Source organism: Homo sapiens, chromosome 9 (genome assembly GCF_000001405.40).
Source record: "Homo sapiens chromosome 9, GRCh38.p14 Primary Assembly".
In the NCBI taxonomy this organism is placed as follows: domain Eukaryota; kingdom Metazoa; phylum Chordata; class Mammalia; order Primates; family Hominidae; genus Homo; species Homo sapiens.
The window spans coordinates 13,926,296-13,946,265 of record NC_000009.12 but is presented as its reverse complement, the minus strand read 5'-3'; the positions used below and the strand labels follow the sequence as shown (position 1 = coordinate 13,946,265).

General features: G+C 37.6%; 2 long non-coding RNA genes across 3 annotated transcripts in view, besides 1 other annotated feature; one reads left to right on the top strand and one right to left on the bottom strand.

Moving 5' to 3' along the window:
• Nucleotides 1-19,970, top strand: part of LOC101929507 (uncharacterized) — a 203,870-nt gene that overhangs the window by 73,827 nt on the left and 110,073 nt on the right. Inside the window, exons 5-7 of one of the 2 annotated variants that reach the window (XR_001746620.2) lie at nt 3,487-3,554; nt 5,758-5,863; nt 6,329-6,605. This is a non-coding gene — a long non-coding RNA (uncharacterized LOC101929507). The remainder of the gene's footprint in view (nt 1-3,486; nt 3,555-5,757; nt 5,864-6,328; nt 6,606-19,970) is intronic. The other variant, XR_001746621.2, reaches the window with a different exon arrangement.
• LINC00583 (long intergenic non-protein coding RNA 583) lies at nt 659-18,295 on the bottom strand. Its single transcript, NR_038194.1, has 3 exons — nt 18,205-18,295; nt 1,815-1,891; nt 659-874 (listed from the first exon to the last, which is right to left on the bottom strand). It is a non-coding gene; the product is annotated as a long intergenic non-protein coding RNA 583 (long non-coding RNA).
• Nucleotides 5,902-6,718: an enhancer, noted in NCBI's record as "VISTA enhancer hs305". NCBI's record gives its function as "enhancer in: limb[5/7]" and the evidence as "EXISTENCE:transgenic organism evidence [ECO:0001131][PMID:17130149]".

Genomic DNA, 19,970 nt, shown 5'->3' with positions numbered 1-19,970 from the left:
GTTGTCTTTGAGTTAGTTCACAACTGTAAGTTGTTGGTAACTGATAGCAATGCTAAATATTTCTTGTCTATAAACACAAATTCTGCCCTGACCTGGTCAATTGACCTACCTCCAGCTTCCCCTCAAGAAACCAGTTTGCTCCCATTTGTACATTAATGTCTATTCCTGATCAAATGTATCTGTTCTTCAGATTCTCTTTTGAACTGATTAGGACATCTGTCTGGTTTGCTTGGGTGTTAAATAAAATCTTAATATGTGTTCATTTCTAAGAGAGTCACGACTAAACTTTTAGCAAAACTGATCAGTTCTGATTAGTTATAAATGAATTAAATTCTGAGCAGAACAAAAAAGATATCAGACAGAATTAAAACAGCATATATATATATATTTGCCATATTAAAGGAACTCAAAAGGTACAAAAATAAAAGTTTAGGCAAAAATATCTTGGTCACGTTCAGACATAAAAGCAAGGATTAGCAATATTAGTATATGACTGAATAGAATTTACATCAAGTAATAATATATTGGACAAATAAAGGCAGTGTAAGTATTTAAAGTTTCAATCTATAATTAATTTATACTGTAATAGAATCTGAATATATCAGTGAAAGAAATTATGTGGAAAATGTCAGAGAAACAAGGAGAAATGGTCAGGTTCAATAGTAGTAAGACTGTTTATTAAGATTCTCCTCTTATTTGACCCACAGAGCAGGCTAAATAAATAAATGTAAGACAAATGAGTATCCAAGTAATATAATTTACAATATTGATTTGTTAGTCATAGATTGAATTTTACACCCTATAAGCAGGTAGATGACATAGCTGTGGAGATTTTCCTCTTGCAAAGTAGGCTTGCAGTCTCAGAAAGTTTGAACTAAACAAAACAGATCATTAAGTTCATTTTTAAAAAGAGTTATATATTCCATAGATATCCTCATCATGTCCTGAATCTTATTGTGTCTTTGACTTTTATTTTTAACTTAATTAGCAGCTCACCATTGAAGCCAGCCCAAATGATTGATAGACTGATAATAAATCCAAAAAGTGGCTCTTTGATAAAAACAAATAAAAATAGACAAACTCCTAGATAATGCAATAGAAGTAAAAATGGAAAATAAAGTGCCATACATGAGTTTATTTCTTGTTTAATTAAAAGTGAAGAAAAAACCATATGAATAACAATTTATGCAAAAGATGCTATGTGAGGGCACCAGTTATAAGTTATATAATTGAAAATAATCTAAATGTTCAAAGATGGGCTATTATAATATATTCTATTTTATATGTATTTAAACAAATGCCATCCTGTCATTAAGAAACATATTGTAGAATAATACTAAATAGTTAATGGAAAATTTCAGTTTGTTAGTGAGAAAAAAACTGCAAACAAAATACAGAGTATCATTTTACATTTATAAAATAGGTAAAAATATGTATAAAATGCATGATAAATATGTACTAAAATATTAAAAATAAAATTTTCCCTAAGTAGAGAGATCATAGATTATTTCCTTTACGCTCAGCTATGTGTTCTAACTTTAATGCCATATAATGCAAGTTTAAAATGTTGCTATCTGCATAAGAATGCCTTCTGTTTCGTCCCTGACCCACTCTTCTTTCCCTAAGAGTTTGCCCACCAGGTCATGAAGGGGTGAGTGAGCTCTGTGGCATCTCTGGGCAGGGCAGCAGCTGATGGGGCCAGAGGTACACACCTGCCCAAAGTTGGGCTCATTAGATCCTCTCTCGAGAATTTCAAATTGGGATTCAGAATCAGCAGTTAGTTAACTATGAGAATGAGAATCATACAAACAAACCTGGGGAACAGGGGCTGTCATTTGAGTGTGGCTATTCAAAAGCCATATGTACTGCTGAGCAGGCAGGAGAGTTTGGTCTGCAAAGAGAATAATCAATAGTAACAATAACAATGGATGCCATTCATTGTGTGCTCATTATGTGACAGGCAGTCTTCTAAGCACGCTGTATGGACTAACTCATTGATAGGCACATCTAACTTTTAAGGTAGATACTATCATTATCCTCATTGTACATGTGAGGAACCAAGACAGAGAGATTAGATGAATTACAGAATAGTGCAGAGGGCCGAGAGATGAGGGACCATGTGGTCTCAGAGAGGCAGAGACCAGAAGAGTGGCTCCCCTGTGCCTCTGGGCATCGCAGGTCCTAGTTCTAGTCCCTTGTGAGGCCTGTTTGTATGTCCTGCCATCTGTTTCCAAGAGATTACTCTGACTCCTTAAGCTAAACTCCTTGTTCTTCACAAGCTTGAGTGGCTAACAGTTTCTTGCAATTGAACAATCCTTGGCTAAGAGGGAGTATATGCTGGGGGTGACTACACATAAAGTGTCTTTGATATCTTTAAATGCTTTTCATGTTATCTTTGAAACCAGCCCAACGAAGGAAACAAAATGTTGCTAGAACTCATCACAAACAACCACATACAATAAGAGGCATCGATTCTCCCAACTCACAAATAATTTTAGAAAGTATTAAAAATATGCCTACTAAGGAGAAGGTACTCATTGAAAAACAGCCCTTGAGAGACTAGAGAAATCTCTAGGTACTCTCCCTCCTCTGCACAAAATGCCTATTTGTATAAATCTTTATATACTATTTCAGGAAGAGTTCACATGTTGTAGTGTGGCTACCAGCTTCTGGATGAGAGGCTATTGCTTACAAAAATTGCAATTTTTTTAGGTTATGTATCTGTACAGTTTTGAGTTAGTATCATCTAACCAGAGTTTTGAATGTTTTAATAGCTTCTAGTCTAACTTTGTCAATCTCTAGTTGGAGGACAATTCAAGGGAGCCCAAAGAACATGGCTGGGGAAGGAACACAGAGACTGGAGCTTCAGAAGTTACTATTAGTGCCAACAAAAATAGTTACTGCAAGGTGTTAACACTGGATAAGTAATTTCCTTTTCTGAGACTTGACACTTGAACTCTTTTCTTCCTAGCTTTTAGGATATACAGTGGTTCCCCCTTATCCATAGGGGATACATTCTAAGGCTCCAAGTGGATACCTGAAACCATGGATAATACTGAACCCTATGCATACTATGTTTTTTCCTATACATACATACCTATGATAAAGTTTAATGTATAAATTAGGCACAGAAAGAGATCAACAACAATAAATAATAGCAAAATAGAACAATTATAACAATATGCCAGCATCACTACTCTTGCACTTTGGAGCCACTATGAAGTAAAACAAGGGTAACCTGAGCACTAGTGCTGTGATAACTCAACCGTGGATCTGATAACTGAGACTGCTACTGAGTGACTCACAAGTGGGTAGTGTAGACAGCACAGATACACTGAACCAAGGATGATTCACATCCTAGGCGGGATGGAGTGGGATGGTGTGAGATTTCATCACACTACTCAGAATGGTGAGCAATGTAAAACTTATGAGTTCTTTATTTCTGGAATTTTCCATTTGATATTTTTGGACCATGGTTGACCGCAGGTAACAGAAACCACAGAAATCAAAACCGTGGATAAGAGGAGACTACAGAAAGATTTCTCCTTCTGGAGGTAATTTATGCTTCAGTGTGGTGTTTGTCACAATTACTGAAAACTAGATAGACTTGCCTTGGAGCAATAGGATGTGTTTTTTCCCTGTGTTTCTTGTTTTGGTGTAGCAATGGCTATGTAAAACAGCTGGATAGATATTCTTATATAGAGAACCCAAAGAAAATTCAGTGGCCAAATATCCAGATGAAAAGAGAAGCATTCAGTTAATCATCTGGATGTTTTGTCTACACAAGGAGAAATCTGTGGATGTTTCCAAATATTTGAGAAAATATTTGGGAACATCCAGATGTTTGGCCCTATGCAGCTCAAACATTCAGATGTTTGACTAAATTTCGCCTTCCAACCGGATGCTTCGGCATCAGATAGACCCAGCCTTGGTTATCGTAATTACGCATTGTTAACTGGTGTCACAGAAAATTGTTTGGGGGAAAAACACGACACACCAAAATGTGGAGGTTATAAATAATCACAAACATTACTAGTGAGGAAAGAAGGAGGGAATAACACCTCTGACCAATCAGGATGCATCATCACTAATATAAATTGTCAGCAGTAGTGTTCTCTTTGCAGAAGGTCTAATAATTAAAAATAATAAACATAAGCTGGTGGCTCCTACTAATGAAAACGAAGCCAGTAGCACTTGCAGTGTTTACAAAACATGAAGGATGTGAAAAGGAACATCCTCTGCTTTGAAATGAGTTGAAAATTCTAAACTTCATGGAAACGGGTTGAATGAGAGTTCAGTTTCCTCCTCTTATTTTAATGTGGCCTTGCAGTGTCTCCGATTACAGTGTTCTTAAACTTGTGGGAATCAGCCTAATAAAAATACTTAAAGAAATACAGCTCATCCCTCAGCTGTGGGCCGGCTGTGTAGATTACCATGGTGCAGGAGTCAGGATCTGCCTCCAGAAAGCAGACTCCGTTTTCTACACAGCAGTAACATGAACTTGAACGGAGGCGTTAAATGAGAAGATCATGTTTTGATTCTAATTAAGATTTTAAAACCTGATTTTTAGCCAACTTGTTGTTGGTGAAAAACAGCAATGCCATAAATAAAATAGCCACAGATGGACCCGGATATTTGTTTGAACAACCATAAAAATTCTTTCATTTTAATTGATTGATACTGGACAAAAGTAGTATTCAGCCAAAACCTTACCGCTAGTCTTATAATTATTTTTTTAACCAGTTCACCACTACATTCCAGGGGAACTTCAAGACATCCTACTGAGGTGTCTGGTACAACGTCTGCACCTGATTACATGTTTGACTTTGCATACCAAGCCTGAAATTGTTCAAGAAAATTAATCTCTTATATACTTGCAAAATCCTATCTGGAAAGTAACCTAGATGTGGTCTGGGGTTCATTTTCAAAGTGAACAATCTTCAGAGAACCTGGGACTGGATCGTACTTAGGAATAATATGGTCTGTCATTCTTTGTAGGATGGGAATGACTGTTGTAAAGCCGATGCTAATTTTTCAAGGAACTTCTCTAGAAGATGCAGAAAGAAGCAACAGACCTTAAAATCTAAAAGCATTTAATATTTTTAATTGCTTTCTGAAGAATTAAACTCTGGTTTAATTTGAGAAAGCATCTCAAACATTTTTCGTATCAGAGCAAAAGTTACCTAAGTATGATCCAGTTAGAAGACATGCATATTTTAAAATACCTATGATACACTCAGCTTGTTTTTGTTTTTAAAGAAACAGAAAATATGACTTTGGTTCTAAAAATGCCTTCATTGGAGTAGAGGAGGAAATATAATTGCTACACAAATTGTATGGATTCAACGGAGGAGTCAGCTATGATTTCTTTCTCTGATGACAATGAAACTTTTCACCTTTATATGCCAACTAACTGGAAAAATTTTCCTACAATGTTGTGCTCAGAAGTGTGATAGGAGAATTGAAAGTAATCAGTGTCAATTAGAAAGACCTTGGACATCATTGGGAATGCCTATTAGAAGGGATAAGAGCATGCTAGAAACAGATGGCTTGAGCAAGATTGTTGGCTCTGTCTCTTCTAGCTTCCTGACCTCATGTAAGATATATAACATCTCTATGCCTTGGTTTCCTTATCTGCAAAAAGGGGATAATAATAGTAGTACATAGTGGATAGGACTGCAGCCAGGATTAGATAACAGAGTATATGTAAATCTCGTAGATCAATGCCTGCTACATGAGTAACTTTTTAATCCACAGTACATGAATCAAATTGCATTGAATCAAAAGTTTTGTGAAGATTTGAGATGAGAATGAGAGCCAAATAAGCCATATCATAAGAAGCTGTGATCAGAAATAAAATGAGGTATGTTTTGACACTTAATGACATTCTAAAAGATTGGGCGGCAGCAAGATGTACACACGTCTCTGCAGAAAATGTGGTGAGGAGGTAGGGGGTTGGGCAAGGGAGATCAATCTCACAGCTTTCAAGTAGGATTCTGTGGGTGGGGAAGAAAACTAGAATTCACAGAGAAGGAACTGGCTGATATTATTATTATTTTTTTTGATGCAGCATTTCAGAAAACATAATCAATGGCATGCGTCCAGTTCCCATTTAGTAACCAAAGAACTAGCTGCAGCTGTTTTTTATGCCTGGTGGTGCCAGTTTGATAGTGTATAATCATATTTGCATAAAGATAAAAAGGAAGGTGTTATAGAACACAGTTAAGCCTATGGTTTCACCATGAATTAAAGGTAATTTCAGACTAATTAGGTATAATTTGTTAAGGAATTCTTCCCAGCAATGATGACTCTGATTTTGTAATTACAGGACAATGCTTACTGTGGCTTTCAAGGCAGGAGAAAGCACACCCGAGGGGGTCGTGTCCCACACTAGGCAGATCTAATGGTGCCACAAAAGACAGGTGTTTTGTCAGATTTCAGCCACACACTTTCACACCTGCAACGCATTAACTACCGCAGCAATGTTAATGAAGACCAGGTGCCTGTTCTCCAGCATAAATGAGGAACTGGCAGGAGATTTGCTGTTTGCTACCTGACGTCTACCCCTGAGTCTCTGAACCCCGTCCTTCTGGTTGAAGGGGAAGGTGAGTGGGGTAACAGGGTTTTGGGTACTTTTGCCTTGGTCCTTTTGAGTTGTGGGATGGAGATACTGAAACATTGGTCTTCGCATTATGGTAGTGACCTTTTTACCCACCCATTGAATTTCCCATCAGTTTCCACCCTAAAGTAGTGGAAAACATTCTTACAGCACTAAGTATCTCCAGGCTTTCTGTGCTGCTACCCCTTTTGTGCAGAGTTCAGCCTCTGAGAGTCCTGAAAATAGCTGATCTGCAGAATCTACAAAATGGATTTCTGGAAAGTGCTGTGTTATCAGCTGCTACCAGGGAAAGTTTGATTGTAGCTACTTGAGTCTTTTCAAACTTGAAGTTTTGCCATTCCATCCGGAAATGAGTAATGGAGGCCTTGAGCAAGGCTTTTCACTTTAATAAAACACAAGGTTTTCATTGTGTGGGGCTACATCATTTTAATGCTCTGTGTTATGAAATACAAAATCTTTTTCTTCCTCCCTTAAGAAAAAAACTCTGCAGCAAAGCTTTTCCCTCCTCTTTTTTTCCTTCTTTTCTTTGTTTCACCTCTTTCAGCTGCAGTTGTCTGCTCCCTGCAATTTCCAGCAGTTAAGTGAAGTTAATATTGTCACACACACACACACACACACACACACACACACACACACACACACAATTGAAAGTGAGGAAAAGAATGAGCAGGTCTAGGTTCTCAACAATAGAATATAATTATCTAACTCATTACCAGTGACTTCTGGCCATGAAAAAAAAAGCCTCTTCACCCTGGGAGAGGGAAGGATGGACAAATATCAAAATGCTTGACACTGCACTTAAATTCCAGGTCCTAATTAAGTTAGAAAAGAATGGACTCATAGACTTTTAGAGTAGCAGATCTGAGTGTGAAAAGGATGGTTCAAATCCAGATTTCTTTAACTCTTCAATCCCTGAAGTGAATATATTGGGCAAACCTTCAGAAATGGATACTCACACTCTTGAGGTGACCTGTTAGTAACATAGATCCAAACCATTCATTTCAGGTCATTCTGCAGTGTTTTTCAAGACATGTTTCCAATGAGCTTACTTAAGATTTTCAAGAGGCACCCTCAAGGTACAAATATAGCTGGGGAGTTTCCAGAAATCTCTGGCTTTCCCTTTCCACGTCCCACCACCTACAACTAAAGCAATTTTAGTTTTCAATTTACTTTATTGATTTGGTGTCTATCAATGATTTAATATATTAATTTTTTTGGATTAATACCAAAACCTTTGGTTACAGCTGCCAAAGAATACCCTATCTTATGGCAGAAAACACTCGTGCCTTTACCAAGTACTCAAGTATTTGAGCAAATCCAAATTCTTCATGTAGACAATGTTAGCCTTGTATGCAGATTCTCCTGAAGGCCACTTCTGTGCACAAGTGCTGAGGCATTTGGACAGAGTGAGAAATCATGTCATGTTTTCAGTGTTTCTAGCAACCTTAATGTCTACAGCAAATGAATTACTTCTTAACGAATGCTTCTAAAAATTTGGATTATAGGTACTGACCAGGAAACTCAATTTCAAATCCTTGACTCCCCAGTCTTATCAAAAGCCGAACTGAGATCACTGACATTTGAGAGATTATCTCAGGCCTTGCTACTCAATATATGATCTATGGACTGGCAGCAGTGACATAATCTGAGAGCTTCTCAGAAATGCCAAATCGCAGGCCCCAACTCAGACTTACTAAATCAGAATCTACATTTAAAAAACTCCACTGTTTTTGAGTCAACTTAATGACTCATTTGCCTATTAAACTTTAACGTTGTAAACGTGTATTCTTCTAGATCAGAAATTCTTAATTTGGGGTCCTTTGAGTCCATAAATTGGCCTCAGGTTTATCAACTCACTGCAATTAAATGCAAAATTGAATCTGGAGGTGTGGCTATGTATGTTTGTGTTTTAACCCGTAGATCCTTGTTTTTGGTAAAGAGGATTCATAATTTTTCAGCTTTTCAAAAATGTTGCAAACTATACTAATAAAGGTCTTCTTATTTATAGTGGCCATGCACTTCTCTGGGTAGTGCTCTGGGACAGAACTCCGGACATAAAAATGCTATCATAAAATTATAATGGAATTTAATTTTCTGAGCTTCTGCTGAGTGTAAACTAAATTGTTCTTGCATCTTCTGCAAACAGGTGTACAAGTTCGTCCACAGTGTTGTTCAATATCACTTATCAATTTTAGGGCACTAAAAAAAGAAGTGTCCGATGGACTATTATGCTTCTTTTTGTCAATGAGCACTCTATAATTTCCTGTCTCCTCCCCACCCTTCTTTTTTTTTAATGTGCAAGGCTCAAAAAAGCTCAGAACTATTACGAATATGGCATTCAATTACAAAACTCTCCAAAGACAAAATTTCTGGGACAGATCTGTGAAACAGTTAATACTGCACAGCATTAACAATTGAACTGTGCTGGAAAAATAAGAATCGACAACGATGAAAAAATAAAAGGGCATTTAACACAACTAAGAATTAAAGTACACACCTCATGAGGGTTGGACTCTCTATTTCCTTGCTGCTTGCTCTCCCATATCATGTATAGTGTCTGACCATAGCTACTTGGAAAATATCTTTTGTCAAACAAACACATTGATTTAACAAATACTTACTAAATGCCAACTATGTGGTAATGTGGAATTGTAATTAAGAGATAAAATGAGTCTGTCTGGATTTGAGTTCCAGCTCCACTGTGCAAAGCTACAAGATCTTTGGCAAATTTCTTCTCCTCCCTGTGTCTAAAATGAAGATAAGAGTAGCACCTAACCTATAGGCCTGTGATGAGGGTTATATTAATTAATGCACGTAAGTTCTTAAAACAGTGCCTGGCATGTAGTAAGCACTCAATAAGTAGTGACTATTACTAGGTACCTGGCACTTCTCTAGGTTTTGTGGAAATGGGAATACAAAAAAATACCATCTTGGCTCTCATAGGTCTTTTATCAGGGAATAATAGATATTCAATAATTAATTTTATAATTACTCTAAATTGTAATATGTGCTATGGATGGAGAAGTATAAGCTACTTTTAGGAAGACCTGACCAGGGATGGGATGTCAAGAAGGTTTCCCTGAGGAGGTGAGTTTTAGGTGAAGGGGAATAGGGAATGGGAGATAGAGCAAGCCAGGTCCAGGGGGCTGGAGCTCAGCAAGTGGTCAGCAAAGGGTGTATGGGAAGCTGATGAGGTAGACAGGGCCTGGGTCATGCTGTGCTTTCTGGAGAGTCTTGGCCTTTAAGAAATTTGAGGTGTACAGAAAAGGTTTTAATCAAGGGAATGACATGAGCGGGTTTGAATTTTTAATGTATCTCTCCAACAGGCATGTGGAAAATTGATTATAAGTAAAATCAGAGTAACTGTGGAGACATGAGTTAGGAAGCATTTAGAATATAATATGAAAGAATCAATTGTACCATTTTGTAGGATGTTGACAGTGAAAGATAAAGAGAGCTGGATGAATTGGAGAAACATTTAGTAGGTAAAGTAAGGAGGACTTGGGGTTGATAGAGTCCTGATTGAATTGTATTGTGCTTTTCCTTTTTATTTCTTCAAGACAACAAGACACATTCAAAAGTGACTTTATTTCTCTATTTTTCCTTCAATTTGTAAACACAGACCCACTTATTCTCACAGGCTTCCCTTAGCTTCATATATGTATATATTCATATACATCCTCCCATAGATCCATATATAATTGATATTGAAAATAGCCTTCTCATGTAAGACTGTTCCTGTTCGTTTCAGAAGGAAATTCATTTATGCTTATAAGACATAAACTCTGTTCTCTGTTGACACTTCTTGAAAGCTTTTGAAGTTCTTTGAGGTGCCTGGGGTAGGTAGGACTAGATAAAATCTTATTTTTGCCTTTCTTAGAAGGAATACAACAAACAATATATTCTCATGGTTGTGATATACAAACAGGATGTTAGTTATTATCCATCTCCAAGTGCTTAATGTTGAAAGGGTGGGGGAAAAACTCACCTCTTCCCCCCACCCTTTCAACATTAAGCAGGTGGAGATGGGTAATAACTAACATCCTGTGTGTAAAAGCTTTGCTTTTGTTTTCCTGGGGGGATACAGGCAGTGAAGAGCCCGGTTACTCAGAATTCCTAGTGTTTTTGCTTTCTGCATACATTTGAGCACATTTAATCTTAATCCAGGACTTATGCTTCCTTACTTCATTGTGGAGGGGATGACATGATAACAATTGTTATTTCTGCCCAAAGAAAAAGAAGACAGTTATAAGAGGAATTAAGAACATATCAAGTAGGTTATAATATTAAGAGTAATAAAATGGTAATTATAGATGACTATTAGAGAGGCTAGCACTTAACCAGGTGCCTGTAACCACCTTCTGAGTATTATTATTCCCAGTTGCCTAGGAAACCAAGGCACTCCATTAGGCTTATGTTGGCCCTGATCCTAAAGCGGCACCCACCCGTTGGTTTTGCGGGATTCTTCTGACTCTGTCCTATCCTATACCCCAGAATCCCACCTCTTGCGTTTCTACACAGAACTCTCTCTGTCCTCAAATATTGTGTTTCCCACTTTCTTCTCCAGACCACTTTCCTCTGTCCTCTCATTCCCTGAGGCTCTTCTCTTTAAGGTGATGGCCAAGAAATTAGAGAAAAGAATGCATTGAGATGTGAATGACTCTTTTCTTTTGCATTGGCATTGTATGAGGACATAGTGAAGGAACCCCAGGGTGTACCTCTGATAGGCAGACAGTGCAGCTCCTTGGGATGCACGGGGGCGCAAAAATATTTTTCAGACCCTATTAAATGTTGTCCTATTGATGGCACTCATGGCTTCATAATCTGTTGGTTTTTTTCCTTAAGTAAATAAGGTGAGGGTTTTGGGCTTCTGGCCTTCACCCAGACTGGGTTTGCACAGCCGTGAAGTCTGAGCTGAATTCTGCCATCTCTCCAGCAGCACTTAATTGCTTTTAATTATCCCTCCTCTGGAGCCTAACCATACTTCACCCAGGTCACACTACAGAGCATGGCTCATAAGTTTTACAAGCCACCTTGTGTATCCCATCCATGTGTGCAGCCACCTTTTCCGACCGTAAACCATCCATCAGCCAGCTATCCCAGTCCCTGAAAGGTCTGGATGCTGAGAGTAAGATCAGGCTGTTCTTGGTGTCACTATGTTGACTACCATTGTAGCAGGAAGCCTTGAGATGAACTTGAGATTTGAATTTTAAATCTGAAGATTGCACATGAATTGAACTTTGAAATGATCTTCCTTTTATTCACCTGTGAATGTAACCAAATTTGAGAAAACTAAAGGGGTTTGGATTTCCTAAGCCCAATTCTCTTGTTAAGCTGTGAATTCTCACTCTGAATCTCTAATGAGATCTTAGGTACCAGGTCTAAGTCCTCATTTGAATTCAGTAAATACTTGCAAATTAAATGAAAAGCCCAATATTTATGGGTAGCTTGCATAGCTATAAGATCCAAAATGTACTTTCCACTGGCTCTGGTCAGTATTGCAACATAGATGTCTTCATTCATTCATTCCTCAGTCTTTCTGAGAGAAGCTTAGAGAAGGGAGGTGGAGAGTTTTCAGTCAAAGGAGCTAAATTCTGAGAATTTTGACTTTTTTCCTTTCTGGATTGACCATGAAGGCATCCAGGCATATGTGTCTGTTTATCTGTGAAGGATACTAGGTAAAAATACAACTGATGGATACACCTCTCCTCAAATAAATTGATTAGACTAGCTAGTTGTCTCAAGTAGGCCTTGGTAAGAGCAGTGCTTCTCAAAGAGGGGTATGGGTACCATAGATACAGGCGAGATGGCTTTTAGAGGTCCCTGAATGAATGCCTTTTTATTATTCTAATCTAGCATTTAATATTCTGTTCTATTGCTTGCAAGTGATATCGGTTTCCATTTAGCAGTGATGAAAACTTTCCATTAAAAATGTGTGTATTAAGGAAAGTGAGTCATTAAAATAAAAATATTGATAACAATACCAGTCAGTGATAACTGAAAATGTCAAGTCATGAAAGATGCTACACAAGTGATTGGACTTTGGGAATCTTTGGGATAGAAGATGCAGTGATTTGAATAAAGGCTACGGGGAGCTATAGAAGGCAGGGCACTCATTGGAGGGTGTGGAGTGGGAATGAAAAGAAGCAGAGGGATATGTACACCTGCCAGCATAAGAGCAGGCAAGGGAGTTGACAGGAGGCTGATGTCTGCAAGCAGTCCCTGTCTTGTGGAGGAGCAGTGGTTTCAGAGTAAAGCATGGTGAGGGAACCTGGTGTGGTGAGAGAGATCTCCAGTCTCCTAAATACCCAGCTCCCTGGGGAATGTCTGCACCAGCTCTGGCAGCATATAGCTTCAGGATTTTTCCAGCTAGCTACTTCCCTACCCTCTCCTACATTCCAATATCATTTCCCCATTTTCAGTTCCACCAGAGATAGATTCCTCAAGCCCTTGAGTATTTCAGATGAAACGATTTTGATACCAAAATTGCTTTATGCTCACCAGAGAATGTACTATCCACTTGGAAATAAGGCCTATTTGAATTTGCCCCCTTTGTCCTTCCAAATGTCACTGGATGAGGGAGAGGACTTGGCAGAAGAATGCAGTCGGTTTTGGCAGAAGCATCCAAAAGCCTCGGATCCCCTGATGTACAATAAAAGCCGTGGAAGTGTCCAGTCTTTGAATCCGTGTGCCTCTGTGGGAACGTGGGTGAGGGTGGAGGTATGGGTGTGGATGCATGTTTGTGTAAAGGGTGAAAAAAGAATCTTTGTTGGAATAAAGAAAGGCATGCAACAGGGATCAGCTAGACAGCCAACCCTGAGGGAGTGAGGGAAAGAGAAGACTGTAGCAGACTCCAAATCAGTAAATGCAAATTGCAGCAGAAGGTTGACCTTTTACTGTAACCGAAGTCAGCTGCAGGTTGTAACCTCATGCCATTAATTATAACCCAGCATAGCTCTGGTGGGCTCTCCCGTTGGCCTTGATCTCCCTCATCCTCCCTCTCCACCACTTCCCTCCTTAGTCCCCACCCCACCGAAAGGCTCATGTTGCAGGCTGCACTCTGAGATAAAATGCTTTTGAAAGTAATGGGTCTTATAGGACTGGAGTCAATTCTATACATTTCACTTTTTTGCAAAAGGAATTGTCCTGTGTTGAAGACTGAGATGGTCGGAGAAGGCCCATTTAAAAAAAAATAGCTAAAACTTAGATGAACAGAGTCCTTAACCAAAAAAGTAAAATATTCATCAGCAAAAGCAAAATATTCTGGGCCAATATTGTTTCTGGAATGTAATAACGCACCCCCACTCTCCTTTTGGAAAAGGTTTGCAAGCATTTTGTTGCATGACTGGGAACCTACAAAAATATAATTTAAAAGTAGATATATAAAGGAAATATAACCCAGAGAATTCTGTGCACAGGTCAAGAAAGAAACTTGCATAATAGGTCTAGGAATATTTTGAAAATTCTGGGCCCTTCTTTCTGTTCCATTTCTTGTTGGATTGTTTTAGGAAGTCTGTATTCACTTTGTGTGAGAATCTTTGGTTTTTACCTCAATTGAAAGAATGGAAAACTGCAGACAGACATTTTATACAGACAGCACTGGCTTCACATGACATGTGTGGTTGTGCAGACTCCTGTGCTTAGAAGGGCCCTGTACTTGGTTTAATGCTCTGCTGTGAACATCCTGAAGCCCTGAATAACCTTAAACAAATGGCCCCACATTTTCATTTTGTACATTATGTAGTCCTTCTGGTATAGGGGCACTGGAAAGTGAAACATATTAATGGTTGGTGAAGCCAATACCAAACTCGGAAAAAGTTGATGTCTTCTGGGCCAATATTGTTTCTGGAAGTAGTTAAAATTTAGAATAAAACAAATATATGCTGAGGCCAGTCTTCCCCTTAAAACACAAAGTTGTACAATTATCTCAGCCATGTTTTGGTTCTTTGAATAATTAACTGACCCACAATATAGCAGATTTTCCGTAGTTTACTTTGTTTAGCTTGTCCAAAGCCTCTTGATATTCTCCTGTTTTAGTTCTTCAGTTCATATATTAGATAAACTTCTAATATGATCATGATACTATTTTAAAATTGCATGAAATAGGAAAGACTAAAGCACAGCCGTGCCCTCAGGAAAGTTTCTCTATGGGGAATGATACAATTAAAAATTGCAAAAACAAAATCTGACTCAAGCTTGAAAGAAAAAAATGCATTGAGATACAACAAATGTTTGAGAACAGAGGAAGGAAATATAGTTCACATTGGGAGGATGACGAAAGGTAATGAAGATCACGATACACATAAGTGCGTGTGTGTGTATATATGTGTATGTGTGTGTGTAATTTCAATATACAGAGAAGTGATCAAAGGATATTTTTGGAGCAAGGAATGATATATAGGGAAGGGAGAACAAATGGCATGTTCAGGCAGCAGTGGCTAGAACAGAGTGACTGGTGTATGAGATGCAGACGGGAGGGAGGTGTTATTGGAAAGGAGCTAAGACCAGATTGTGGTATGGGCAGTTTATTTAGTAGCAACTGCTAATGGAAATAGGACTAATGGAATAGGAGAAATGGTCATATAGGTCTATGGGTTTTTTACACTGAAAAAAATAATTAGAAACTGTCATTCTAGTCTCACCAGGTAATTGAGATTAGGGCCAAGACAGACCACACAAAGAATGTGAATGTCCCAGTACAAACAGAGTTACGGTGCATTCCCTAACAGTAAGGATCAGTACACCATGCGGTCTTACTGGGAGAAGGAGAAGGAAGAAGAACCTTCTCATTCCTGTGCAGTCTTAACACTGAGGTTCAACTTTGGACTTTCCCACAGGTGAACAAACCTTGGGAACTGTCCTTAAACACCTCCACCATTGGTTGGCTGCTTTTCTGTGTCTTGAAGATATTGGTCCACTTTCCATAGCATCTTCATTTGAATTGTTATGAAAGAAATACGTAAAAACATATGAAAATGTTTGGAGTTGGAAAACCAACAACGTACAGACTGTGTATACAAAGCACTTATTTTGTATATAAAAACAAATGGATGGATGGAGTCATGTATGGGTTTATGCTGGTATGAAACATACCAAAGTTTTAACAGTGATGGTGTTATCTTTACATGCCGAGATTATGGGTGACTTTTATTTTAAACAATTTTCATTTTTGGCTTGATTTTGTTTAGTTTTTGAAGATTTTAGAGAAAAATGCATTATTACTAGGATTAGATTAAAATTCCATTTTGGGGGCTCGGATGGATTTAGCATTAAATCCATCCACAAAATGAATGATCATTTTAGAAAATATTTAATGATGTTGCAGTGTGTCCACCCTGAATCTTAAGTGCCATGTGGTGCAGTGTGTCAGGGTCTGGCTTATTAAGAAGATCAATAGGTACAGTGCTGAATAATCTGATGTTGCTTGGCTAGCGTACGAATGCATCCGGATTTTTTTTCTTTACATTATTTGTTCTACCTTTAGTTTTATAAAAATATTTTCCAGGCTACACTTTGACGGTGGGATTTCAAGTTGTAAAAAATTCCTTTCAAATTTTGGATGCAGAATTTACTATTGCCCCAGGGTTTCTTGGAAGAGAATTAGAAGAGTTCTGTTTTTCTTATGAAACATATTCAAAGAGATGAATTACTTTTCCATGCAACAAACTCAAGTAAAAAGTGAGATGCAATATCAGTGATGATGTGATTGGTCCTTTGGAGATGTCCCACTCAAGCATTCAAATAATTTCCTGTGTTATGTCTTGGGCCAAAAAGCTATTGAAAGAATATAATTTCAAAAATGCAATGTTTGCTGTGAGAATGTCAACTATGACAATTGTATTCAGCATACTTATATACTGATTTGTATTTCATTCAGGTTCACATACTTGTTCTTAGGTATTTTTAATTGCGATCATATTAGTAAGTGTTTCTAGTCCCTAAGTGGTTTTTAGTTGATTATATATGTCAATAAACATGTGGATGTTAGATTGAGCCATATGATATTAAAGATAAGCTTCTTTGTACTTATTTTGATAAATCATAAAATGTTTACATTTTGCCCCATGTACTTTATCATTTCTTTATGTATTTACATGTATTTGTACATTTTATGAACTATTTGATATAATTTGGGGACATTGTGCCCTCTTACCTCTAAATGCTATAATTTGTATTTCGTAAGACAATAAGAAGAAATTAGAAAAGATTTCCTAAGAAGAGATATTCTCTTTTCTACCCACAGAACCATTACAAAATAAGAAAATCTGACATTAATACAATGCTCTTATTTAATTCATAGTCCAAACTCATATGTTCTCAATTGTCTCAACAACATCCTTTAGAAAAATTTTTTCCTGGCCCAGCATCCAACCTGGGGTCATGCTCTATATTTGTGTCTCTGTAGTCTCTGTTGATTTAGAACGGTTTCTTGGCCTATCTTTGTCTCTCTTGACCTTGTTATTCAAGAGTTCAGGCCAGTTGTTTTGCAGAATGACTCTCAGTTTGGGTTTGCCTGATGTTTCCTTATGATTAGAGTCAGGCTATGCTTTTTATAAAAAATATCACAGAAGTGATGGGTGCTGTTTTGCCCTTCGCAGATAATCCTAACAGGAGGTAAAATATATTAGTTTGTCCCAGTGTTGGTGGTAACTTGCATCACTGATTCAGGTGGTATCTGCCAAGTTTCTCCACTCTAAAATTCTATTGTAAAGTTATCCTTTATAAGTAATAAGGAATTTGTGGAGAGTTACTTTGAAACCATGTAAATATCCTAATCCTCCTCAAACGTTCACGCATTCATTGGGGATTTTCTAACTCCATCATTCTGTTTACTTTTGTTGATTGGCATTGTACTGTAAGGAAGAGGTTTTTCCTTCTCCACTCTGTGTTTATTTGTTCATTAATTTATTTTTATAAATATAGTATTTAATATGTTTCAGTCTTCACTTGATCTTAGCCAAAAGGCGGAGAAGTGATCGTTTTGATCTTTAACATGGCAGTTTTAAGTGGTTCAGCCAAAGACGTCATGCTATGCATTTAGACTGGAAATATATCAAGCATGTATCTTCGTAGCCCATTGTATTTTCAATAATTAAAAAAATTATTCATTGACTAATTTTAAATTATGGCATGTTCTTTACTTGGTGACTATGTCAGTCTCAATTTTGATTGTCAGTATTAAAACCTCTACCCATCCCCTTTACTCACAATAACACATTTCACTAGGCCTGTGTTGAAACAGCTGTAAGGTGAGCCCTTAGTATAATCTAATCTATATTTAAGGCAATGTGAGTTGTGGATGTATAAATATGAACAATGTTTTTAATGCTCATTCAAATATTTTGTTTTCATAAAGTCCGTGTTCTGTTTTTAAAACTTAAGGTTGATAACCATGATTTTAGGGAGGACAGAAATTGAACTCATCTGGTAATAAATGCAGAATACAAACTTCTCCTTCAGCCAGTTTACCTGCACATTTATGGTAGATAGTTGACATTTTTTATGACAGTGAAAAAATCAAAGTATTATATATAATTGTTCAAAAGAATTGTCCCCAAATTGAATATGTTTTAAATTCCACTTACCTTTTGTTTTATGTCTATTAGGCATTTAAAATATTAGAAGATTTTTGAAACTTCAACACTTTTTGAATATTCTACATGTGGCCTTTTGAGATTCTGCATGTTGCCTTCAAAGAGATCTTGTCAGAGTTACACTTCTTTAATAGTGAAGTTTATATACTTAAGAAAATAAAGGCAAAAAAATAGTCATTCATAATATAAAAATAATACAGTCATACATCAATTAATGGCATTCTGGTCAATGACAGTTCAAATATATGACAGTGGTTTCTTAAGATTATAATATGGCATTTTTTTCTGTACTTTTTCTATGTTTGGATATACGCATACTTACTTATGGTTACAATTGCCTATAGTACTCAGTACAGTAACAGGCTGTATAGGTTTGTAGCCTAGGACCAATAGGCTATACCATATAGTCTAGGTGTGTAGGAGGGTATACCATCTAGTTTGTGAAGATACACTCTATGACGTTCACACAATGAAACACCTAAGGACACATTTTTCGGAACATATCCCATCGTTAAGTGACATATAACAGAAGTACCTACATAATAATTTTTATGAGGATTAAATGAGATATTTGTAAGACACATAGCTCATGCTTGATACTTACTACATAAAATGATAGCTATTTATTATTACTCTAATTCTTAACATAGTAATTGCTATGGCTCTTAATTTCTTTAAAGAAAACCTCAAAAGGAAATTTCTGTGTGATATAAAAAGGAACTGATGCGAATAACTGTCCCATGGAGTAGTTGAAAGAATACGAAGTTTCAGTGTTAGCTTGTGTGTTCCATTCATCTCAATGGGTTTTAATTCCAGTTTCAACACTGATTAGTTGAAAGCAAGGCCAGTTTCATGATTTCTCAGCTAATCTATCTTTAAAAGGTGGGGCATGAATAATGGTATCACTTTCCTATGAAAGAATGTCTCAAGTGGTCTAGTGAGAAAAGGTTAATATACAAGAGAGCCCTTGGTGAATATGTGGAGTGGAGGTCGGAGAATCAGAGAGGAGACAGGAGGAGGAGGGGCAGAGTGTCCTTGTGGATGGCAGGAGGCGGTCCTGACTAACATGGCTTGTGGAGACATTAAAGTGAAATGCTATACAACTCTTTCATAATTTTCAGTGGTGGGCTAACTCCATTTAAAGAGACTGGCCAGGACAGGTGTGGTGGCTCACACCTATAATCCCAGCACTTTGGGAGGCTGAGGTGGGTGGATCAGTTGAGTTCAGGAGTTTGAGAGCAGCCTGGGCAACATGGGAAAACCCCATCTCTATTAAAAATACAAAAATTAGCTGGGCATGGTGGCAGGTGCCTGTAATCCCAGCTACTTGGGAGGCTGAGGCAGGAGAATCGCTTGAACCCAGGAGACACAGGTTGTAGTGAGCTGAGATCATGCCACTGCACTCCAGCATGGGTGACAGAGCAAGACTCCATCTCAAAAAATAAATAAATAAATAAATAAATAAATAAATAAATAAAAATAATACAGAGACTGGCCAAAATTACACTCCAAGGACCTCTGGGCCTCAGTTTCCTCAACTGTGACATGGAGAAAATTTCTATTTACAGAGTTGTTGTCAGGACTGTGTGCTTGATACCTTTTGGGTACTCAGAAACAGTCCTGTCAAGCACCTACTGTAAGTCAATAACCGAGATTGTTTTCTGACTCTCCATTTCCTGACATGGCTGATGTCGTAGCTCTATAAACAGACACAGGTTTGGGTTGGTTTGTTGGTTCAGTTGTTGCTTGTCCAGGCT